Source organism: Homo sapiens, chromosome 16 (assembly GCF_000001405.40).
Source record: "Homo sapiens chromosome 16, GRCh38.p14 Primary Assembly".
Classification (NCBI taxonomy): Eukaryota; Metazoa; Chordata; class Mammalia; order Primates; family Hominidae; genus Homo; species Homo sapiens.
The window spans coordinates 65,102,219-65,127,797 of NC_000016.10; the positions used below are offsets into that span (position 1 = coordinate 65,102,219).

A 25,579-nucleotide genomic window follows, 5' to 3' on the forward strand; every position below is an offset into this window, starting at 1 on the left:
TCTAAGTTTTAAAAAATTCATGTTGAAAATCCATTTCTGCACTGTTTAGATTTCTGTGTAGCTATAGACCCAAAATCTTACGGCCAATTTGTCTCATTGAGTCAACAGTTGAAGAGAGTATGAGGAAATATTTCTAATAGGATCATGTCTCTTGCAACATCACCATATACCCACTCTCCTAAAAAAAAGTCACTTACCTCCCTCTTGGGAAACCTGTGGAGGAAACTCTTACTTTGGAGAATCCCAATAAATCACCCTTCCTTTACTCATGACTGTAATACATTAACTCTGGACTTGCCCATATGACCCTGGCCTGTAGCCAAAGGGATATAGACAAGCATGATGCAAACAGAACCATAAACACCCTTGCATGTTGCGATTTTTGTCCTTTGGAAACATATGCTCTTGAGATTTATCCTTTCCAAAGCCAACCACCATGCTGTAAGTCAAGTAGCCCCATGAAGGGGCCATGTGTTAGAGACACTGAAGCTTGTGTCAATGATAGCTCACCCACCCTCTGAAAGTCATGATTATCCCTGGGTACAGATAAGAAATACCCTATTCTTGGCCATCCTCTTAATATGGATCCTTCTGTTGAACCCAACTTTGGGGTGGAGACTCAGGACAGGAGCAATGGAGCAAAAAATGCAGGAAGATGGTTTAAAAGTGTGGGGACTGAGATGCAGCAAAAACACTGAAACTGAGCATTATCTGTCAAGGTATTTTGGTTCTCTACTGCTGTCTATCAATTCACCCACAACAACTGCAACCTGGAGCCAGCCCGTCTCTCTGTGCCCTCCTCTTGTCACTCTCCACCCAGTGCCTACACATGCACATTCATGCAGGTGCCTACCACATGGCCCAAGCACCATGGCACACCTCCTGGGTGCTCATATTTTTTGCGTTCCATTGAAACTCTAAACTTCACAGGAATCTGATTTCCTGGATAACCTGGGTGTTGAAAGCAGCTTGGTTTGTTGAGTTATCACATATTCTCGGTTAGCTTTGGATCTTGCAACCTGCTAGATGCTTATTTAGTATATAAATATATGTTTTAAACAATTGTGTATGAAATGAGAATAAGCATGAGACAATGTAAGAGAAAATGTTATAAATTCACTGATGCCAGGTGGTAACAGAATTGTTATATTAATGGTATTATTTTTTCATCATTGTTGTAATAATCGCCATCATTATTAAGGTGTTACAGTATTATGGAAAGATGCCTACATGAGGAAATAAAATATGTTAAATCTGAATTCAAGCTCTACATTTTACTAGCTTATATGATGGCAAGCATGTTATGTAATCCGATTCTAACTTTTTTGTCTGAAAAATAGGGATGGTAGTATAGGATTATTTTGAAGATGAATTAGATAACATGACAATATGCCCAACAGTGTCTTCCTCACCAATAGTAGTTTTTAAAAACTGTGTATAAATATATTCTTCAAAAGTTGAGACCTGCACTATTTGTAAGGTATCCACTAGCTGCATGTACCTACTGAGCACTTAAAATGTGCCTAGTCTCAACTGAGATGCATTAGTATAAAACACACTCCACATTTTAAAGACAGTATAAAAAAGATATGAAATGTCACATTAATAATGTTACATTGATTATAAACCAATAATTTATATTATGTTATAATATGTTGTATTGTGTTATAGTTTTGATATATTGGCTTAAATAAAATAAATTATTAAAATAAATATTCCCTATTTCCCTTTTACTTTTTTAATTTGACTGCTAGAACATTTTAAACTAAATATGTGAATGACGTTTGTGGTTTGTATTATATTTTTATTGGACTGCACTGGGTTAAAGAGTTATCATGAAATTACAATTATAAACATATAAAAGCTCAAAAACAAAGGATTTGGTGGAGAAAATTGAGTTCTTATTTTCAGAGGTATGCAAATATGATTCCTGCTGGGAAGGAAAGTATTATCTATGCCAATTTCCTTTAAAAGTGAAGCATGACACCTTCATAAGCAGAGGAAAGATTCTCTTCCTTATACCCAGGTGAAAGTTAGGTTTGGAAGAGCAGCAATAGATTAGTCAATTTTAGTAAAGGGAATGGAAAGAAACATATGGGTTTGGAAACACGGAACTTGGAGACAAATTCCACATTGTCCCTCACTAGCCATAGAACCCAGAGTAAGATGCATAAACTCTTTGAATCTCTTTCTCTCTATAGAGCAGAAATACTAATATACTTCTAACTTACAAGGTGATAGCTAGCATTTATTAAGTCCCATTATGCACTTGGCTTTTTGTAGGTAGGTGCCACTGTCATCCCAAGGTAGAGAGAAGGAAATTAAAGCAAAAAAACAAAAAACAGAAGCATGTAATATACACATGGACACAACAAAAGACAGGGGGCAGTGGAATCTGTTTTGGTATAAACCCCTTTGGCACTGCGCTTTTAATCACTGCTCTCTATTCAGATTAGTCTTTTATGGCTCTCCTGGGAATGGAAGGAGACAATGAATGTGAAGCATATACCAAGATCATCAAATAATGGTCCCCATTTATATTGCTGTTGTGAAGGCATAGCGAATTATGGAGAGGATGTAAGATTTAAATCACTCTGTGCCCCATTTGTTCATTCAAAAGAAAGACCCCAAAAGACAAGGAAGTACGTAAGCTGACTTTGCAAATTCTGTTGTCTTGGTAGTATTCTCAATTTCATAAGAATTAAATATTTGGGGGAAATACATTCAAAAGTTAATTTACGAAATATAAAGCCAAAAGAATTCTGGCCTCACAGATAACTTAAAAGCTTTAAAATCAGTTCCTGCATGGCCAGTAAAATAAATAAATATCTGAGGTCCTCCCAGTTCTTCCCGAAATGACTTTGAATCTCTCTGTCCACGTTTGCAGCACCAGCATCAAGTTACAATATTTTTTTTAACATAAAGCATACACTTCATAAAGATTGAACTATCTATATGAAGGCTGGGTTTTCTTTTTGTTGTTGCTGTTTGTTTATTTGTTTTTGGAAGAGGTTTTAGTGTTTGTGTTTTTGTGAGGGGCCCAGAAAGCACTGAGAATTAGGAAAAGGCTGAACCGAATATAGAGGGAGACTGGGAAATATTCCCAGCTGGGACAAACCAGCTGCTAGCTATAATCCCTGTGAGTTTCCCAGGGGGAGCACTTGGATCTAGCCTACTGGATAACCTCCATCAACACATTCCCACAACACAAGATACCTCCCAGGGCAACAGTCACATCCCTCTGACTATCCAACCTGACACCTCTGCAACAGACATGATTGTTTCTGACAAACTCATTTCTTGTTCAATTTGATATGAAAATGAAAGTTGGATTAGCACAATTTCTCACATTTGAGAGCATGTGCATGAATAGCATTTTCAATGTTGCCTTATAGTAAACCCAAATGAGCTTTGAAAGGAGATGCAACAATGCAGGTAGAGTTGATATTTTCAAGATCTCTCTGCTTTGCATCCAAATCAGCCCTGCAAGGTGAAAGCATGCTTAGTGGGCCAAGCTGACACAATCAATGTCACTCTCTTAGAAGCAGACCATCTTCAGAAAGAAATGTTAATCGAATTGTTTCCCATGCAAATGTAAAAACAGGGGAAACAATACTATAGATAATATCAATATTTTTCAACGTTAAGCAAAGACAGGCAATTCTTGAAGAGTGATGCTATTACCATGAATTTCATCAATTCAGTCTTACCCACAATGCTTTTCTTACATGCTTTGTTTTCACAACTGTTCCTTGGAGGACAGGTTTGGGGGCCTCTTTGCCAGAACTGAGAACTATGTTCTGAGTTTCCATGAGCCTACTATCAACTTGATTTTCATTGCCCAAATAAAATTTTGAACCCAGGAGCTGTGTTAGGAGAATAATACACATATTCTCTGGGTCAAGTCAGTGTGACCGAAACTTCTTCTTGGACTTTTTTAACAGAGCTCAACTGTTTTTCCCAATCCCTCCTGTAGGGAGGTAATGTTCCATTCTAATCCTCTTATTCTACCAAAGAGGAAACTTGAGTCCACACAAGAGGAGTGAGTTCCTTCTTGTTAACAGTGAGTGGGATGGGTATAGGGTTTGACCTGGTGGTCTACAGATGAAAATGTTACACAAATATAAGAGTTGATCAATACAAAACATAGAAACCTTAGTGGACTGTGTCTCTTTGAACAAAACTTTGCCATCTTGGTCTTTGCTATCACATCTATTCTGAAGACCTGCCTTAGAGTGCCAAATTTCATATCTCTTAATGTCATCCTCAAATTCGGTGTAGATTATTCTTTATCTCTTATAAATCTTGTTTCTTATTAATATGCATTAGAGAAGCTGCAATGGGACTCCCTTTTTGACATGCAACATACAAGACCTTAATGCTGCATAACAGAGAATGGATAGTACCTATTGATGGACAAAAACTGAATGTATACATCTTCTTTCAACAACCCTTCAAAACAAACTGTAAATCCTGGGTGCAAGATAAATGTTCTGACATGACATTCTTGGTAGCATCTTCCCTTCATGTATGCCAGGGCTGGACAGGAGCCAAAATCTCAGGAGAGAACATGGATCTGGGAAACACAACTTCTTTCTGCCTAACACATCTTTTTAAATATTTAAGTTTCATGAGCACATCACAGAAAACATAACACTTGGTGTCATCCTTAAATAATTCTGGGTGGGGAGAGTGCCAAGAATCCATCAATCTTGTATGCCTGAGAAAAGTCATGGGAAAAGGTTTCTGGATCTTTCAGGTCCTGAATTTAAATCATTTGCAGCTGTCTACCATGTGATCTCAGGCTCCCATTTATGGAACTGGAAAGATGAAATGAGATAACCTATGAAAGGCCCAGTCCCAGGCCGTCAGTAAGCACTTCCCGATGACCAGTGGTAAGTCTCACGGACCTACCCTTGAAAGCACCTTAAGTCTGTCTCCCTATAACAGAGCAATGAAGAACACGGGATCTCTTGGCTCAAAGCCCTGCTCATCCACTTATTAGCTGCATAATATTGGGAAAAGTTGCTGAATTATCCTAGGTCTTGATTTGCATATTTTATAAATGGATAATTATAGCTTCTACCTCATTGAGACTGTCCTGAAGATTGACTGAGATAATTCATGGGACATGCTGAACGCAGTGTGTGCATACAGTAAATGCTCAGTCCACATCAGCTATTATAACAATGCTTCCACCCTCGTGCTGGCTTCATCCTCTCTACCAGTGAGGTGACTGCCAGAGGGTACTCACAGGAGTACTCTCCCTGTGAATTTCCCTGTTTAAACTTTCTGTCTCTTTCTATCAGTTCCTTTCAATGTGGTCCAGAAATCATTTAATAAAGCATGCTTCAAATCCTGTAAAATTTCCTTGGGACCTAGGGAATAAAGTCCAAAGCTCTAAATTTGGTATTGAAAGTATCCCATAAAGGGTTTCAGAATGATGTCTCACTATCACCCTCTGCTTATAAACTCTGCTCGGGCAAAGCAAACCTGTGCATTCACATCCAGGTGTGCTTGTCTCCATGATTCCTTCTCCAGAATGCTGAGAAGTGATGGTTAGAAAGTGCCATGCCAAGTGATTTGTGGAGGAAGATTTGAGGGCCAGGCCATTTTCGAGCTGGAAAGGACCCAAAAGGCCACTTTACAGATGAGGAAACTGAGGTTAATTGGCTTTCTCAAGGCCACACAGCTATTTATCAGCAATGCCAGCATTGCAAGGGCTGATCTGCCTAGAGGAAGGGAATCACAGGGCAGCCTATTAGGGAAAATTTGTCAGCAATTGACCACAAACTTGCTGACAGGTGATCTTTCCCCAATCACAAGAAATGAGACAGAAGTTAGGCACCCAATAAGAAAAGGACACTAGGCACGTCTCTCTGTAAGTGAAAACTGTTGCTTTTCTGGCTTGCGATACAGGGCACAGGAGGAGTGGGGGTGATAGAGAGGGGGCAGCTACAACGATGCCTCAGGATCTGATCCGTTCCTCACTTCAAAGATGTGACTTCTCAGGCTGCGTTAGTCTCCTGATTAATGCTCCCAAATGCACTGCTGAGACTTGCTGAAGTTGAAGATTCCCTGCAATGATTGCAGCAGGAATGGTGATGAATAAAACACAAGAATCACCAATGCATTAGTTGGAAGGCAAGCGTCCCCAGCTCTAACTACTAAATTGCAATTTTTACTCTAAGATAATAATACTGATAGTGACACTCCATTTATAAAGTGCTTTGTAAGCTCCCCCAAATAATAACAAAAATGAAAATTGTATCTTATACTATATAGCAGTGTCTATGAAGAAGAAGGTGGAGTGAAGTTGTTCAAGATAGATCTCCCTTTACTACTGGAATATTTTGGCAAAGTATTGAGATTTAGAATTGTTTGCATAAATGAAGCACTTCACCCTGATTTTCAATTTGGCTTTGGATTTAAATGTAGTTTTGCTGCTGCTATCAAATCAATATTTAAAAAAAAAAACTTTTAAACATGTGGCTTTAATGAGTAGACAATTGAAAGTTGATTACTAGTGATATTTTACTAAGCTGCCTATATAGCCTCACCTATGTTTGGTTAGTCCTCTTTGGGTAGTGATCTGGATTTGCGTTCATAGTGACCAGGCAGGGATTACCACATAGAAATTGAAATGAGCTGGGCACAGTGGCTCACACCTATAATCCCAGCACTTTGGGAGGCTGAGGCAGACGGAGCACTTGAGGTCAAGAGTTCGAGACCAGCCTGGCCAACATGGTAAAACCCTGCCTCTACTAAAAATACAAAAATTAGCTGGGTGTGGTGGTGCATGCCTGTAGACCCAGCTACTTGGGAGGTTGAGGCAAGAGAATCGCTTGAACGTGGGAGGCAGAGGTTGTAGTGAGCTGAGACAGCGCCACTCTACTCCAGCCTGGGTGATAGAGTGAGACTCTGTTTCGAAAAAAAAAGAAATTGAAATGAATGGCTCCAAGAGTTCTGTTCAGTTCAGTGATAACTGGGTTAAATTTGGGCAAGGAGCTGTCTCAGCTACAAAATCAAAGCCCTTATGAGGTTGTACTCTCTGACCCATTAGACAGGCTACCATGTCTCAGATGCTCTGAGACCTTGGGCTTCCCCTGCAGACTTCACTCCCTGAAAGAGTAAAGCAAATTCCTTTCAAAGGTGTATCAGAAAAGTTGTTGTGGGATGGTATGAGACTAACTCCAGAGAAAGTTTTTAACTGTGTGTCCTTGCTGCCCAAACTCACCCAACTGTATGCACTGACAACTTCCACTGTTTACCCAATAATTGGGCCAACACAGAGGCTATACAGTTAAGAAGGTGTGCAGACTGTCCCCTCCAGAAGCTAAGATGCGACTTGAGGCCACTTGTCCATTTTATGGGGTGGTCCCCTTTCATGCACCCATCAATGCCGAGAGTTCCTATGTATTCCAGCTTTTGAGATTTTTGCATTGGCTCCTTGGCTAGAGTCCATAGAAAACTTTCCCACAGAACTGGATGTGTCCCTTACAAGAGACCATTTTCCATCCACATGCCAAGCTATTATGCTGCCTGCCATAGCTGCCCTTGGAAATGCCACCTCATCCACTGAGCTATATTACTGGACTTCTACCCAGGTCCTGACACCTGCCCAATATTTGCTCAACACAAATTGGACTATTCAATGTTTGTTTGTTTGTTTGTTTGTTTTAAGACAGGGTCTGGATCTGACACCCAAGCTGGAGTGCAGTGGCGCAATCCCAGCTTACTGCAGCCTCGACCTCTCCGGCTCAAGCAATATCTCCCGAGTAGCTGGGGACTACAGGCACGTGACACCGTGCTCAGCTAATTTTTGTATTTTTTGTAAAGATGAGGTTTCATCGTATTGCCCAAGCTGGTCTCAAACTCCCGGGCTCAAGCAATCTACCTGTCTCAACCTCCCAAAATGTTGAGATTATAGGCATGAGTCATTGCACCCAGCCTATTCAATGTTTACTAAAACCTCCTTCTGCTCCAACCTTACACCCTATCTGACTCTCAACATTCTATATGGCCTTTGAGAAGAACTCAAAAGCCAGATATCTCATTCAATAATGCAGCAGATATTGTTCCTCATAACAGTCCCACAAGGATATGTAGGGAAATGAAAACTTTTGGGTTTCTTAGTTGAAAGCAACAGAAATAGACTCTGGGCAGCACAGTCTTTGCAGGAAAACTGGAGAAAGAGGCTCAGAAAAACCCCAGATACCTAGGAAGGCTGGGCAGTTAGAAGCCCAGGCCAGACTCTGCCATACAACGAGAAGAGTGAAGGCACCACGGTTGTCCCCGCTGGACATGGGTGGCTATGGGTTATTTTACCACCTCTGTGGCCCCTGGAAATCAGATGCTGTACAGCCACTGCTACAGTGACCAGAATGAGTTATCCATGGCCAATGATGTGTGTGTGTGTGTGTGTGTGTGTGTGTGTGTGTGTGTGTGTGTGTGTGTAAGATACTGAATCCAAATTTAAAACACAGGGGATTTGGTGCTGAGTTGGCATTCTAGCTTCCAGGAAAGTTAGGGAATCAACTCTCTGGCCCTTTAAGCCCCTGGAGTAGAAGGAACTCTCTTCCTCCTATAAAGGTGCTTATTGGGGTTATTTCCTAAACATAGGAAGGTGGTTCTGAGGCCACGCAGCCAAACAATTGAACAAGCAAACAAAATGCCAAGCATGAGCTAAATGGAATGAGTAACACATGGAATGTTGTCTTCCATGGTTTTGAATCACTTAAATAGAAGTGTGTATATATATCATATGGTTTAACAAGACTCTGTCCCTGCTCACATCAGGGTATTTTCATTGCCATTGCTTTGTTCTGTTTTTATAAGGCAAGGTTGGAACTGAGGAAACCAACCCATAGCATGAGACTAGGAGGGATGACAGATATGCTGAATAACAGACTCAAGATTTAAATTTTAAAATATTTCAGTAGACTGGATCAATTGACCAAACTCAGCAATATGAAAAGTAACAGCAACAAGAATAACAGCAACTCCATGCCATGAGCTGTTTTAAACAATTTTATAGATTAATATCATTTAATATCAGAGCTACTCTAGAAGGCAGATACTGACATTAACCCCAGTGCGATGGGGAAATTGAGAAGCAGATAAAGAGACTTGCACAGCTGGTTAGTGACATGGTCACGCCTGGAAGCAGGGAAGCCTGACTCCAGAGCCTGTGCTAACACCACTGAAGGTGACTTATCATTTCTTATGTGCACAGGGACAGGTGGGGAAATGCGGCTTAACGGCAGCACATAAGGAAAAAGAAATAAACAAATAAACTGTGGAGCGTAAGTCCTCTGGGTGATGTGGCTGGCAATAAAAGCTAATGTAATGTAGCCTCAGGCTGCAATAAAAGAAGTGTGTAGAAGGGAGTTCATAATCTAGAGTCTAGCTGCCTAGATTTCTGGCTTCAGTCCTTTCCTCTGAGGAAAGCTAGAAACACACACACACACACACACACACACACACACACACACAAATGGGGAGTTCAATCTGGAGATTTTAAGAATGGGGAGAGGGCATCCTGGAAGACAACTTAAAAATGAATAATTGCAACAGGGCGCGGTGGTTCACGCCTGTAATCTCAGCACTTTGGGAGGCCAAGGCGGGTGGATCACAAGGTCAGGAGTTCAAGACCAGTCTGACCAACATGGTGAAACCCCGTCTCTACTAAAAATACAAAAATTAGCCGGGTGTGGTGGCGCACTCCTGTAATCCCAGCTACTCAGGAGGCCGAGGCAGGATAATCACTCGAACCCGGGAAGTGGAGGTTGCAATGAGCCAAGATTGCGCCACTGCACTCCAGCCTGGGCAACAGAGGGAGACTCTGTCTCAAAAAAAAAAAAAAAAAAAGAATAAGTGCAATGTGGAGGAAGAATTACATCTATCCTGCATAGCATCATAGGCTATATCAAAGAACATAACCTTTGGGGAGATAGTTTGGCTCAACTAAAGGAAGCATTTCCAACAGTGAAGGTTCCCAATGTCTCAATGGTTTGCATAAGTAGGTAATGAGTTACATATCACTAGCAATGCTACAACCACCACCAGGACATGGTAGCAATGATTCAAGGACCTGATGGCAGAGTTTGTTGGTCTAGGTGGCCTCTGTAGTCTCTCCCTATCATGTAGGAGTAGAATTCTGTTATTTCTTTCCCAAACCACCATTGATCACTAAACTGGATGTGACTTGTCCTTCCTATGGCCCAATTTAATGCTTCCTTTGGGGCCCTTACAGTATGAAGCCTTGAGTTTTAATCAACAGACCTAGTATTCTCTGTGCTGTTAATATTGTCAGCTCTCTGAAGGGAAGCCCTCGTGATTTGACCACTTCTGTTTGCCCAACCCAGGACCTTGCATTAATGACAAAGAAATGGGTTTGAAATGAATTTCAAATCAAACCCTGCCAAAGTGTCCTCTATAGGCTTGGCAGTGGCAAGGTAAGGACATCATTCTTACTCTGTTCTTTACAGAACCTTGGAATGGAGTTAGTAATAGGAGGTGACTATAAAGTAGGACAGAGCTTAAGGCCAGGGCCAAGTGTTGCATTTTGCAAAGTATTATCAAACAGCGTATGAAATGACACTGGACTGATCACGAACTTCCAAATAAGAGATTCATTTAAAGCCTTATGTTTAGGGCTCACAACTTAACTGCCCAAGGATATCAGAGGGCGCAGCTTTACATAAACAAATGAACTAATGATACGTTTACAAAGAAATCAGACCACAGGTACAACTATTAAAATAATCAATTAAAAAATGACTTTTGGCCAGGCACGCTGGCTCACGCCTGTAATCCCAGCACTTTGGGAAGCTGAGGCGGGCAGATCATAAGGTCAGAATTTCGAGATAAGCTTGACCAACATAGTGAAACCCCATCTCTACTAAAAATACAAAAATTAGCCCGGGGTGGTGGCACGTGCCTATAGTCTCAGCCACTCTGGAAGCTGAGGCAGGAGAATCACTTGAACCCGGGAGATGGAGGTTGCAGTGAGCCATGACCTTACCATTGCACTCCAGCCTGGGCAACAGAGCAAGATTCCATCTCAGAAAAAAAAAAAAAAAGACTTTTGTTTATAGATAGTGAAAAGAGATTGGGTTAAGAGCCTCAAGAGCACAGTTCTGTTCCATTAAACCCTAAATTACCGTGGGATCTTGGGCAAGTCCTGGTTCCTCTCTGGGTTCCTGAACCCTCATCTCTAAATGAAGGTTGACTGGAATAGCTAATGATTCAGTTAATGACTGCATACATCTGATTCCTGAGAATTCTACTTGGTAAAATGGAGTCCTCAGCCCTCCTTAGAGAAAGTAGTGGTTCGAAGTGGTTAGACTGTCTGCAATAGGGAACATGATTTAAGATGCCACGTGGTAAAGCGGGCAGTGACAACATGGAGTGGAAGCAGATGGGAGTGATGAGGATGGTGAGAGGTCTGGAAACTGTATCTCATCAGATTAGCTGACACTGTGAATGGTGGGAGCAGCCTGATATGGTGACTAAGCTTCAGCATCTGATGCTTGGGTTACAATCCCAGCTTTATCAATTACCAGCTGTGGAACACTAGAATGCGTGATTTCCACCGCACCCCTCTGCCCACCCCCCATAAGATGCTGGCGACAATCTTAAGTAGCTCATGAGGGCATTGTGAGTAAATCTCATATTATACAGAATGTTCTTAGTACAGTGTGTGAAACTAACAAAGTGTTCAATAAATGCAAGGTTTTAACTATTATCAAATACCAGGTTCCAAACAATTGCAGAGCCTTCAAGAAAAGGAAAAAGTGAAGGGGGGTCAAAACGTAACTACTGGGAGAAAGTTACCATAAAGGTTATTTCAGCTCCTTCTTCATTAAAATGGAGTGCTTTTAATGACTAGAGTTAATGAATCACCTGTTCACCTCCTGGGTTTCCTGAGAGGTAGTTAGCAGGCTGTCATCAGGACATTTAAGAAGCTGTAGGATTATTGGGAAAACAAAAAACCTACTGATAAGGGAGTTGGATCAGAGGATCTCAGAAGCTCCCATTACAAGTAAAATTTGAGATTTTGTAGGAGCTGAGGATTGAGCAGTCACACCAGCTCTTCTGTGTCCTTCTCCAGAGAGTGAAGGAGGCCCAGGCTTGAGACACGCACCAAAAACAGTGGAAAACTGAGGATTTAGAGTCAGAGCAGGTTTGGGAAGCCAGCTTTCCTTCTCCCCAGACTCATGAGCTTAGATAAGTGTCTTAAATTCCCTCTGAGAGTCATTTTCCTATTTGTAAATAGAGATGAAAGTACCTTCCTCTCGGGGGGTTGTACAGACTAGATGAGGTACCGAGTAGAGCGTCCGGCACACAGTAGGATCTCAAAAAGTTGTCTCTCTCTCCTTCCTTTTCCCCGGCAAACACAGACAGATATTCCCTTTCATTGCAAGGTGCAGGCAGGAGGGAACGCCAGCCTGGAGCAAGAACAGATGACACCGGCGAGCCGCAGATGGGAAACTGCAGGACAACCTGGAAGGTCCAGGAGCCTTGGAAAGCCCAGCCTGGCTGTGATTTTGGGTGAGAAACAGTTGGAAACCATTCAGGGCTTAAGAGAGGGTGAGGACTCCGTTATTTTTAGCATGATGCCAAATCACTGTGCTTTTGCCTGGGCCTGCAAAAGACAGAAACCCACAAGGCAGGTCCAGGACTTTTTCAGCCACAGTCTATTTATGAGTTAAAACTGTCACTGCTCAAACCCCTTACAATCCCAAACTACATTTACCTGAAAAACAAACAGGAACAGTCTTGAAATGGAGACGATTTATCAAGAGACTAATTATCTTTTGAGCTAGTCTGGAATAGTAATGAGCCCCTTTTAAACGAAAGCAAACCTGTGATGAATATCTCAATATGGCATGCTTAGCAAACTTTCCCAGTAAGGTATTACTGCAGGGTAACTTACCACAGCAACCCATACGCAGAACGAACAGAGGGAAAAAATGCAAAGGTAGGAAGGAGGCAGGCAGTGTTCAAAAGCAGTAATTATCTCTCAAATCTCAAATCCCAACTGCCTCTTGAATATTTTAAGTGGAAGAGGGATGGATCACTTAAATTTACGAAATCATTCAAAAAAGGCAGGCACTAATAAACAATTCATTGCTAATTGGGAGAGGCCTCAATCTAAAACAAATGTTCAATGCAAGATTTCTGGCCTTATAATGGATAAGAAAGAACTGCTACCTGTTCTCATTAGTCCATAAAACTGAATCCCAAGTCTATTTCAGACAGGGCAAGCAACCCCAGCACACACTGAAGGCTCATCGTGAGCTAGGCCTTGCACTAAATTCTCATTTTATCTTTACAAGAATCCTAGGATATAGATATTATTATTAGGTCTATCATTACCAAGAAGACACCTGAGTCTTGGGGAGCTTATATAGCTTATTCTTGGTCACATACTTTGTAAGTAATGGAGGCAAAACTCCTCACTCACAAAATATAAGGCTACACCAAAAAAAAAAAAAACAAAAAAACAAAACCTCAGTAATCAAAATAAGTAATACTTTAATGCATTATTTTAAAAATCAAGATTAGTTGGCCAGGTACAGTGGCTCACATCTGTAATCCCAGCACTTTGGGAGGCCAAGGCAGGAAGATTGCTTGAGGCCAGGAGTTTGAGACCAGCCATGAGCTGCGATCACAACACTGCACTCCAGAGTGAGACTCTGTCTCTAAAAAAGTAAATAAATAATGAAGATTAGTGGGGAAAAAATCTATGATGAGCAAAAGACAAAATTTTCAATCAAGACAGAATCCAGCCGTGCACTTACAGGCCTTGGACTTACTCTCTTCACCCTCATCCTGGCCCCGCTGCTGGGCACTATTGCTTCCAAGAATGAATAACTGGTCCAAGCCTCTAGCATGATGAAAACTGAACTTTCCAGAATGAGTTTATGGGTAAAACATTGCCAGCAATCCGAGGCAGGGTAGGTGTGAAGCAATTTGAGCTGCTATGCCTATCCTTGCTTCCTCCACCCTTGCTCTTATTGAGAAGAATAAAGATGCATCGATAGCAGGGACTCTACCCTAAATTCTCACTGTTTGCTCTCACTGATGGAGCCTAATGGAGGCTGAAATGAGATCTCTACGTGTCTTAAACTAAGACCAGGGAGGAGCCTCCCCTACCACACTGGTTGCCATGCGAGGTGATCATCATAGTAAGGACAAAGCCGGGCTCCAGGCCATTTTCTTCAAGAGAGCTGAATGTGGAGAGCTAACTTTAATTTGTGAAAATCATTCCAGTGCAGAGGACCATGTCAGGAGGATTTCTGGCAAATAAGGGGTGTGGAGTTTAGGAAGTGAAAGCTTTTTTTCACCTGCAGCAACCAGGAAATTTTGAGAATAAACCCCTGCTCATTCACAAATATTGTTTGAGGGACACTTGGTGCCAGAAAACACAGAATAAGACCTTGGCTACTGTCTACTGCAGTCTTTAAAGCTGTTTAAAGCTGTTTATATCAACTTCCTAGATTCAGCTCTTCAATTGGCTTAATAAGGATAGAGAGAGAGAGAGAGAGGTACGAAGATCAGAAATTGGCCTCCATAAGAAATAGCATCATTAGTCTCTCTCATACTTTTGAGTTTCTTCCTCCTTTCCCTCTCTTCTCTCTCACATTCCTCTCACTTAATATCCCGATGTACCAGATTTTCTGATTGAGCAGAAACCTCGACCATACAGACTGTGAGAGAAATGCTTTGTCTCAATAAGAATCCCTGAACTCTGCAACCGTCTCATGACTAATTAAACCAAATAACAATGAAATTTTGCCTCCAGTTCAAACAATGTGCATTATTCACAAGAGCTTAGAATTTAAAATTGCCCCTTTTAAAGTTAAATAAACTGTCCAATGGTAAGTGAACGTCAGTTTACAAAACACTTTGTCTTACTTTCCACTGAGTTACTTAATACTCCCTCCCATAATCCATTTGCATTGATTCCTTCTTCATCAACTGTCTACGCATTCCAACACAGCTCAGAGCTGCAAAGAACTTCATTGCTGAATCACCAGGGAGGCAACTGTACTCACTTAAGACAAAAAACACAAATAAGTAGCCACTTAAAACAGTACTTATTTCTTTAATGGAGTTTTCCTCTTAATTATAATATAGCATTAGTTTCTTTTTGCATTCTCCTCCTGAACTTTCATGACACTATCAAACAGGAGCAAATATAAATTTGTGTAGCCTGGAATATGCAATTTAATCATAAGCCATAATTTCCATATCGCTGAGAAGAAAAAAAATCAAATGATTATACTCCAGTGCACGAGGAACAATCTTGAATTAAATTTTACTCTCTGCTAAAGTTAGGTTTTTCACAACAATATCAAGAATGGTTTAAAAGAAACAGTAAAACATTTACTGCTATATTAAAATTCCATGCCCCAAAGTGTTTACCGAAGATCAAACTGCTATTCCTTTTTGCAAATTAGAAGTGTCTTGCAGACATCTTCAAAACCTCATGAAAGAACGGGCAATGGTGTCACGGTAGTCTCACTGATATTTTTCTTCTTTATCCATTCCCTTCCACTTGGAGTCAGAAATGATGCTCTTTTTGCCAGAAAAAAATCCAGAAAATCCTCCCAGATCACTGTCTCAGTGAGAGCTGACCTTGTTTATCCTGCAGCCCAGCCCCCACCCCGGCTGCTGCTCAATGTCAAGTTACAGGATTTCCCAACTTTCTAGTAAACTCCAAGGTGGGAAGAAGATGCTGAAGGTAACAGGATCCACCCACTAGAGAGATGCTAATCCTGACCAACTGCTCGAGCAGTAGCTTGAACCACAGCTAGATTGAATTCGGTCTCTCCTGAGAGGGCCAGACAAGGCTTGTAAGTAACAAAACCGCTTTTCATGATGCCCTCAAAAGCAGATGGGCTCCATGCAGACAGTTGGAGAAGGGTGCCATTGCCCTCTAGTGGCCAGAAGTGCAATCTTCCGCGAAGGAGTCCATTTCCAGAGTTGTACAAGGCTCTCAATGTCAGGGTAAAATTATAGCAGAAAGATGTCTAATTATGCTCCTCGAGTGTTTTCTTTAGTCCTTCCTGCTCATAGGGGAGGCTGCGGATGGCTATCACAGGAATCCTGATGGAACAGCTCATTTTTAACTCCTACCAGTGCACCAGGATGTGTCCAATTTTCTCCAACTTTATTTTTCTTTTTCTTTAGCAGACCTGTTGATGTTTTTCCCCCTAATCAATTAAATCACAAATTTATATAGACCAACTACTTTTATATATTTCAGAGGCAATAACTTTAAATTAAAAAGGCTGAAAACTCACAATTCTTGGTAAGTGCAGAATAGGGATTCTTGACAAATTAGGTAACTTTTTATGAAACAGCAGCCAATTCCATAAGGGAGAAAATCATCCCAAACACATTTCAATCCCTTAAATCATTGGCTAGTGAATTTATACAGTGCTCAAATTTTCTAGGAAAAAAAAACTTGAAAGTTCATAGTCATTCTTCAAATTTGACAATTCAAGAAAAAAAGTTTGATACCTACTTTCAAACTCTATATATTCCACTGTTTTATTATTATTGAATGAGTAAGTATGCCTGTCATCAAAGTGAAAACATCAATATTGAAAGTAAATTCCAATGAAATTGTTATGTTTCTCCAACATCTACCTACATACATGTATTGAGAATGAAGGAAGACTAAAATCAGATTTGAAGATCTTGTTTAGATGGTTCTGAAAACAGATTTGAATATAAGAGATCAAAGTTTACCAACTTCATAAGTTACCACTTCATAAGTCACAGGCATTCACAGGCAAGGTTCCAGGACATGCTATGCTCCTGGGAGCGCAGTACTGGCATTGTAAATCAGACCACGAGGTCAATGTCATGGCGTTTCCCATATGAGGGTCCCCAAACCAGAATCTTTACAAAGCAGCCATGTAATTCTATTCAAAGGAGAAGAAAAACCATGAATTATGAAGACAAGTGCATTAAAAGAGCATGAAATTGATCCGTATTCCCCCAAATCATGGCGTGGCTCTCCAAGTCTGTCCCCTGCCCCCTCCTCCCACAAATAAACAATCAAACATGCACATCCACAGCCACCACTCTACAGAGGGAACATGAGTTCTAAGACATAAAAAAAATTGCGCCATAACTATTTTTTTTAAATTTTCAAATTAACAAAAGATTGCATCTTAATTGAAAATAGAATTTAGGTTTCTAGTAATTTTACTGTCTGGTGTTCTGATAAGAATGCTGAACGTAATGAAAGTTCTGAAGTGCTATCAAGATGGTCCACTGCTTCAGTTAGAACTATTTTAAAAGCTTATTTTCCTAGGCAGCAATAAGCAGCCATTTGAATAAATCTACATGTCTGGGGCTCGCCAGATTATCCAGTCTCAATCCTTCCAAGGCCTGCCTTCATTCCCCCTTTCCCAGGGGTGAGGAGGGTGGTTTATTCTTTCAAACAATGTCATAAAATGCCCAGTTTATGCAGACTCTGAAGTAACAACTAAAATGATAGTAATAATTTTTATTAATAATAGTGCATGCCTGCAAGACATTTTAATGTCTTAATTTACAATGTTTCAAAAGTAAGATGTAAAGATAATCCTTACTCAAGCAAAGTTTCCTGGCCTTTCAGATGCCTTTCCCTGGTCTCTACTGAAAAGCACTCACATTCCTTTTGTACTAGGCTGGATTTCAGTTTTTCACAGAGGTTCGAATTCCAGAGCCCACTGGCCAACTCTAAAACTTGGAATCAGAGATTACATTTAAGGAACTTCAGTAGCTGGAGCCTCAGAGTGCTTCTCGTATTGGCCACAACTCTGTCCCTTTGTTTTGTAACTTTTTTTCCTTTGTCCTATTGGAAGAAGACCAGGCTCCCTGCAGCTAGGGTTGGGCAGTTAATATTTCTGTTCTGGTGTCTGCACCTACGTATTTGTAGGAAAAACAATTCCAGGATTAACGAAAAGAAGGTCAGTCCCTTCTCTTCTCTGCCAACATATTAGGCTCTAGCGCTCAGAGCCCAGCCTGGCAAATGTGCTCATGCGATGCTACAGGATCCTCGCTCCTGAGAACACATCTGCATCCCCATCCCCAGGAAATCCAGACACCCCGCAAAACCATCGACGTCTGCTGCAAGCCCAAGTGATGAGGAAATTGATCCGTCCTCTAGCCAGATTAATTATGGTAGCCTCCCTGTGATTAAAACGAAAACTTACTGCCTCATATTAAACCGATAGCCATGATTAGAAGAAGAAAATAAGAAAAGATTTCAGAGCGATCGTAGCACGATTTCTTTAGGGGGAGACGAAGGGGGAAGACTTTAGTGAAATCTATACCCTCATACAGCCGGGTTTCAAGAACAACCCCCCACTCCCATCCCTTAGGGATAACCCGTCGTCAGGCAGGGATGGTATTAAATAATTAAAAGATGCGATTTCTTAATAGCAGTGTGATGGCCCATGAAATTCCTACTGCATTATCAGCAAAAGCAACAGGGCTTCTTCTAGCACCTAGAAAACCTTTCACCCGGGAGAGGCAGGCGCGGCGAGCCCCGGGCGAAAGCAGGGCCTCGGCAAAAAAACGGACAAGGAAGCCGGACCCGCAAGCCTCCCCCGACCCCACTTTCTCTGGGGACTCCGCTTCACAGCGTGAGGCGGGCCCTCCTACAGTTCCTCTGGGTTGGGGAGGGGGGAGAAGGGAGCTCTCCTCGCCGTCCTCCCCATCTGGCCAGCTTCTCAGTGCTTCCCACCTCCCGGCTCGCGTTCCGGGGCAGAGCGCAGGGAGGGAGGCCGTGCGTGCCGGGAGCTAGAGAGGCTTGGCGCGCTCCGAGAAGCGGCGCAGGTTTCGGGAAGGTGTGGTTCTCAAAGTTAACGTTGACCCTGGCAGCTTTCGCCAATCCCAAGCCAGAGGCGAGCCCGAGTCTGGGCCGCTCATGGACCTACTCCTGCGCTGGTGGGAGCTTACAAACGGGCGCCAGAGCTCCCGCAGAGACTCGGGCTGGAGGGCTGTAGCGCACCGCAGCCTGCTGCCCCAGAACCACAGTCGGCGGCCCCAAACCCACGCTATTAAAGTGCGGGCAATCTCCTTCCGGAGCTGGGGTCTTTCCGTTTTCCCGGGCTTACCCGGCAGTCTCGACTGCAGGGACTAAGCCCCGGGGAGCTTTCGGCAGGGATCCGGGAGGATGGAGTAAGAACCCCGCAGAGCGCGGTCATGTCGCCGCTTTGGGGAAGCGGCGCAGGGCTGGCGGGCACCGCGCCGTGGGCGACTTTCCCCAGAGATATGACCGGGGACAGTCGGCGTGTCCGGAGGTCTGCTCTGCAGTCTCTTGCCCCAGCCAGGTACAAACCCCCTCTGCTGTGGCCTCGGCGCAGACCCCACAGGAGGCCGGAGCCAGGGAGAGTCGTGGAGCGCACATCTGAAGCCTCCGTCCCCTGCTTTGCCCGCGCCCACAGCTGGCTCCCTTCTCCCTTTCTGATTTTTAAACAAATCTCTCCCTCCCTTTTGCTTTGCGTTAGTGAAGCCTTCTCGACTCAGATACCACCGTCCCCCTCACCACCCCGCCCCGCCAAGACATTCTCTTCCTGAGAAAATCCTGCCCCCCATTCCAAGAAGCCCCAACCAGGCGAGAGGAAGGGACTGGCGGCGCACCTCACCTGGGGCCCTTGAGGGTGGACGCAACCTCCGAGCCGCCAGTCCCTGGCGCAGGGCAAGCGCTGCGGTGTCAGTCCCGGCCCCAGTCCCGGTCCCATTCACAAGTCAGCGGCGGCTGCGAGCGGCCCCCGCGGCATCTGCTCCTCGGCCCGCGACGCTCCCCTCAGCTGGCGGCGGCCGCGGAATGAGCCGCCGAGCGCGCTAGTGGCAGGAATGAGAAACCGGGGGGAGGTGGCGGGCGGGCAGGCGGGTGCGGGGCGGGGGGGGCGGGAGGAGGGAGGCTGCCGCTGTGAGGGAAGGAAAGGGCGGGGGCTGAGAGAAGCCGAGGCTGCGAGAGGCAGCGAGATGGGCCTCGCAGAGGCTGCGGGGGCCGACCCCGTCCGCGCCCCTCCCCCCAGGGGCCCAGAGATGCTAACCCCTGGATTCGTGGCCGCCCCTCCCGCCCCGTGGCGCGGCGCTCCGACTCCCTCAGGGCTCAGATGGAGTCTGGAGCGACTGAAGTTGGGCTCCAGGGACGCACAGCCAATCAGGGAGGGCGGCGGAGGGAAGCTGGAGAGGGGTTGGGAGCCCCCATTTTCCTCCTTCCCCCAAATCCGCTCCAGCTGGCCAGGCTGGGCTCTCGCCTGGCGGGCCGGGATGGTGGTTGGGGGAAGGTATCGTCCAAGTGAGGGAAGCAATTGGGAATTCGGGAGCGCGTTCTATTCTTTCTCACTCCACCACCCCACCTTCCAAAAATCCCTCAACGTTGGCGGCTCCTGCCCAGCCCCCACCCCTCTCAATCTCCCATCCCTTGCAAACTCTTCTGGTGGCTCTGGTGGTGAAGTCGGGCGGGGAGGGAGACTTAGGACTTGGGAAGAGCCCAGTCTCCGTTCTCTCTCAGCTCTCCTCTCGTCTAGTGCCCCCCACGCAACGCCTCGGAGAGGGGTGCGCGGGGAGCGCTTCGCCGGGGTCGGCCTCGCTCCAGCTTTTGGGAGGGTGCCTTGGCCCCTACCCCAGCCAGGTATCAGTGGCCCCCGCCGGTAGTGTCACTTGTTGCCACTCCCTCGCTACAGACCCGCCAGGGCCCGGTGGAGTGTGCGTTTCTACGGGAGAAAGGGCCTAATGGGGCGCAGCGCCGGAGTCCTAGCTCCTTCCTCCGCTGTTCCCCTCACTGACGACTCGCTACCGTGAGGGTTCCCCGGGCCTGCTTCCTGCCCTCCCTCCCCGAGTCGCCGGGAGAAAGGGCTGGCAGGGCCGGGGCTTAGGAATCACGCCAAGGACTGGGCGGGGCGCTCGCGGTACCGGGAACGGCGTGGGGATCCGCACACCCAGCAGGGAACAACCATGCCTGTGTGGGGACCCCTGGCTTGAACAAGTTTGCAGGGTGGGAGGTGGAGGCAAGAGAGGAGGCGGAGGAAGGTGGAGACGCCAGTGGGTGAAGGCTAAAAAGGAACCGCCTAGGGGGACGGGGATGAGGCTGGGAAAGGAGAAGAGATGGACCCGCGAAAAAGACGGGGAAGGAGGCTGCGGAGGGAAAGCTGGGCGCCACAGCCAAGCAGTTTGAAAGGGCTAGAGGGGAGGAGACGGGCCCAGGAGTTAACGGAAAAAGAGGCCGAAAACGGAAGAGAAAGCTTGGGATCCTGAGCGCATGGGGAAGGAACCCCAGTGCGGGGCTAAGGCAAGAGCGGCCGAGCCCTGCCCTCCAGCTCCTGGTCACCAGCCCGCGGGTCCCGAGCGCCCGCAGCCGCCCGGGTTTCCACACGGCTTGGGGAGACGCCCGCGGGGGCGGGTGCCGGCGAGGCTGCCCCGGGACCTACCCTCTTCGGCCTGCGCGCCCGCGTTTTTCTTGACGACTCCAGGATCCGGGTGGCGCTGCGTGCCTGCCCCCAGTCCGCGTCCTGCGCGGAGAGGATGCCTCTGTCACCCTCTGTGTGGACGTGGCCTTTGAACTCCTCATTCCTCCACTGCGGGGGAAGAGCTGTAAGTTTCCAGCTGCCCGGTTATCTTACTCCTCAGCCTTCCCCCCACCATAGGTGTCCAAGGTGATAGCCCCCTGGGTCTCCAGTAACCCCCCAACCTCGCACCACACTCTGCGCAAGGGACGCGCGAGGACATTGACTCCCGGTGCTTTCCTGTAGAGCGCCAGAGAGCAGATCGTGGTGCCTGCCACTCCTGCCTCCCCCTGTGGGTCCCTGGCCCTGAACCTTTTCAGAGCTCTACCCTGCTTCCTCTGTCTGCCTTTTTGGCCTCTGCTGTAACCCCTAAAACTTTGGGTACTTCCCAAGCCACCGCCGAAAGTCCCCACTCTAATGAGGCATGGTGATGGTAATAGGATGATCTGGTGGCGTCATTTCAGCTTATAAATGAAGTTACTTACACAGGAGAGGATGGACAAGGGGTCCGGCTTTCCCTCAGAGGTACTCGAGTTTTGCTCTTGTTTGGCTACAAACTATTGCCTGGATTTTCTCAACCCTTCCACGTGGTCCTAGAGGGAGTGTGAAGTCACGATCAATCTGATCATACATATATTATACAAAGATGCCCGGGATCTGTAATGATTAGGACATCTCTTGATCCATGAAGCAAGTTTCATAAACTCCCTTTTGGAAGCGTGTCCAAAGATGAACCTGGCCACATGTCAGCTGACATTAGCTGGACTTTGACCTCTCCTCTCTGTTCAGCATTTATCGAATCACAACAGTTGTTTTTATAGACCATCCCTTTAGTAATGGGTGCATCAGCCGATTTTAAAAAGTAAGTTAAAAACTGCTTGATAAGTTTCCACTGACACTACACACCTGAATCAGATGGAACCTAGTGTATAGCAGCAGTCAATAACCCTTTGCACAACCCAGCAAGTTAGGATTCTACTCAAGAGAACAGGAAACATGTTCACACAAAAACACACACCAGAATGTTCATAGCAGCCTTATTTATAATAGCCAAAATCTGGAAACAACACAAATACCCATCAACTGGTGAGCAGATAAACAAAAGAAACAACATAAATACCCATCAGCTGGTGAGTAGATAAAGAAAACAGGGTGTATCCATACCATGGAATATTGTTCAGCAATAAAAGGGGAAGAAATACTGATGTTTGCTACATCACGAATGAACTTCAAAAACATATGCTGAAAGCCAAATGAAAAACAACATATTGTATGATTTTCATTTATATGAAATGGCCATTTATATGAACTGGAAAGGCAAACTTATAGAAACATAAAGCCGTGGTTGCCCAGGGCTGAGGATTTGAACAGGAATTGACTGCAAATAGAACTTGAGGGAATTCTGTTGGGCAATCAAAATGCTCTAAAACTAGATAGTTGTGATGATTGCACAAATCTATAAATTTACTAAAATCATTGAATTGTAACCAAGAAAGAAAAAAAAATCCTTTCATATCTTTATTCCCAGAATATCTGTGACCTGCAGCTAATCCACAAGAGGAAACTTGGCAAAGCAGTTTCAGAGAAAAATATGTTAAAAAAAGATTTTTAGTTCTTATGGAAAGATAACCATATTTCTATTCAGCAAGTTCTATTTTGGCTGCTGCTTTGGAGAACCTTATAAGTTTTAAAGAAAGTTAATTCCCCCCTTTCACTCTTCTAAGTGATTAATTCCTGGGAACTAGAGTTAGGCATTCCAGTTCGTGACATTTTAAACACACCTACTCATAGACACAGTACAAAGTGCACATTTCAGAGGGGATTTTTTTATGACTGTGTTAGGATCTGTCTTAGAAATCCTTATCAAGCACTTGGGTGGAGTATTGTGTGATTACAGTTTAGATTTAAAAAAGTAAAAGAATAGAAAAAAAAAAAAAAAAGAACCCACTGACAGCTTAAATCGAAAGATTCAGTTCAGCCAGCCAGCCAGAAGTTTGGGTGTTTATCTTAACTTGCCTCACCTTTCCTTCACCTTGTTCTTCTTCAAGGGAGGAAGCCAGCCTTCACGGTTGCTCTGGAGCCAGGATTAAACAGCCCCTTCTGCTTCCTGCGGGTTCCAATCCAGAGAGATATGAGGCCCAAATGGGCCTTTTCTTGTCTTTGTCCTTGCCTGCACGAGGCTGTTAATTTCCTGTCAGTTCCTTCATCAAAGGTACCAGGCTGTCATTCCTTTGATGCGCCTCTCCTCAGACTCTGAAGATAGCCAGACCCTGCTGAGTCAGTTCCTTGTTTAGACTTAGAAGTTCCAGGCTCCCCAGGTCTTCTCAAAGCTTCCTGCTCTAGAGGCATCCTTTGGTAAATGGTGTAAAGAGTGATGCAAGATCCAAGCGGGGCGTTAGTTTCATCACATTGCAGTGGGCTCCAACCACGCCTTCCCCAGGCAGAGGAGGAAGTTAAGAAAGATGGAATGGGAATACCATTTCTGAATCAGACACTTCAGGAAGATATTCCCACAGCTGGATCTTTAGAGCAAGGTGGGAGGACCACAGGCCTTTGATCTGTCTGATTCCTGGCTCTGCCACTCCTTAGCGCCATAACTTTGGCTAAAGACTTTATCTCCTTGAGATATGCTTTCCAAATCTATACAATGGGCATTACTATCTGTGCCTAGATTGTGGTGGGGATTCAACATGCTCACATACCTAGAGCCAAAAGCACTAAGCTTGGAGCATAGGCTTCATAAGTGAAAGTTATTAATTACTATTATTAATTATGAGGCCTGATTATTATCACATTTTAAATGACCTGAGCAAGAAAAGAGACATGCTACAATTGTGAATTATAATAATTATAGAGATTAATCTTATCTTAGAACTGGTTATAAAACTGGCCAAGAATATTATGGCAGTTCAAAATTTCTGACACTGTAAATTGTCTAAATAAGGCTTGATTGAGGTCAGGTAGAATGAGATGTGCCAGGCTTGGGGGCTGAGGCTCTGAGTTCATATCTTAGATCCGCCACAAATTCATTGAGTCACCTTGGGAAAGTCATTTCCTTTCTCTGAGCCTCAGTTTCCCTAACTGCAAATAAGAGCTTACCTGAAATGAGCTCTGAAGAAGGTTTTTTCCAGAGTTTAAATCCTGGGCTTTTTAAGTGCTACTCATCATTTCATGTATTGAGACATCACATTGTACCCTATAAATATGTCCAATTTCTATGTATTGATTTGAAAAAATCAGAACATCTCAGAGATGCAATTCTCCTTTCCAACACTAGGAGCAATCAGCCAATCATCTCAGGCTAAGGTCTGACTCCAGGCAGCCCGTCTCTCAAACATACCCTTTTCAACTCTATCAATAACATCTGTCTTTCTCCTTCACTTAAAGTTCCCCAAGGGCAGGGGTGACACTTTTCTGGTTTATTTATGCATCCCTAACATCTAGCATGGTGCCTAACATGACATAAAGCATAGACATACAATATGCATTTTTGAATGAATTAATGTATTTGGGTGAATTAAAACCAATATATTGATCAAATATCATCATAATAATACTATGTTGCGAATGATCCTAGCACTCCTCACTTAGAAGAGCACGCATTTACTATCATAGATCTATGATTTAGCTGGGGTTGCCTGGTCTAAACTAGGCTGGGCTTGGGCGACTCAGCTTGGTTTTCTGCATGTCTCATCCTCCGCCTGGGACTCTCCTGGACATAATCTCATGGTGATAAAAACTGCAGAAGAGGTGAAGCAGAAATATGCATGACCCCTTGAGGCCTAGGCTCAGGACTGGAAGCTATCTCTTCTACTTTAATCTGTTGGCCAAAGCGGCATGATCAGATGGAAAGTTAAGGAGTGGAGAAATATGATCTGCTTTTATAGGGGGAGAAACTTTAGTTGCCTGACAAACAGTAGGGTTACAGGAAGGGGTGAAGTGTTGGGCCACTAATGCAGTATCACACAGGCAGAAACAGGTTTTCATCATCATTTACTCCAGACCATCTTGGATCTTCAGGTCCCCTAGGTTATATCCTATAGTCATTG

The 25,579-nt window shown here is 44.3% G+C and overlaps 1 protein-coding gene across 4 annotated transcripts in view; it reads right to left on the bottom strand.

The window, feature by feature from the left end:
- The window catches only part of CDH11 (cadherin 11), a 179,992-nt gene extending 158,466 nt beyond the window's left edge, over nt 1–21,526 (bottom strand). For 3 of the 4 annotated variants that reach the window (NM_001330576.2, NM_001797.4, NM_001308392.2), the window contains exon 1: nt 19,662–19,845. The gene's annotated coding sequence lies outside the window, so the exon portion shown is untranslated. Of the gene's footprint in view, nt 1–19,661; nt 19,846–21,455 lie in introns of those variants that run through there. The other variant, XM_047433486.1, reaches the window with a different exon arrangement.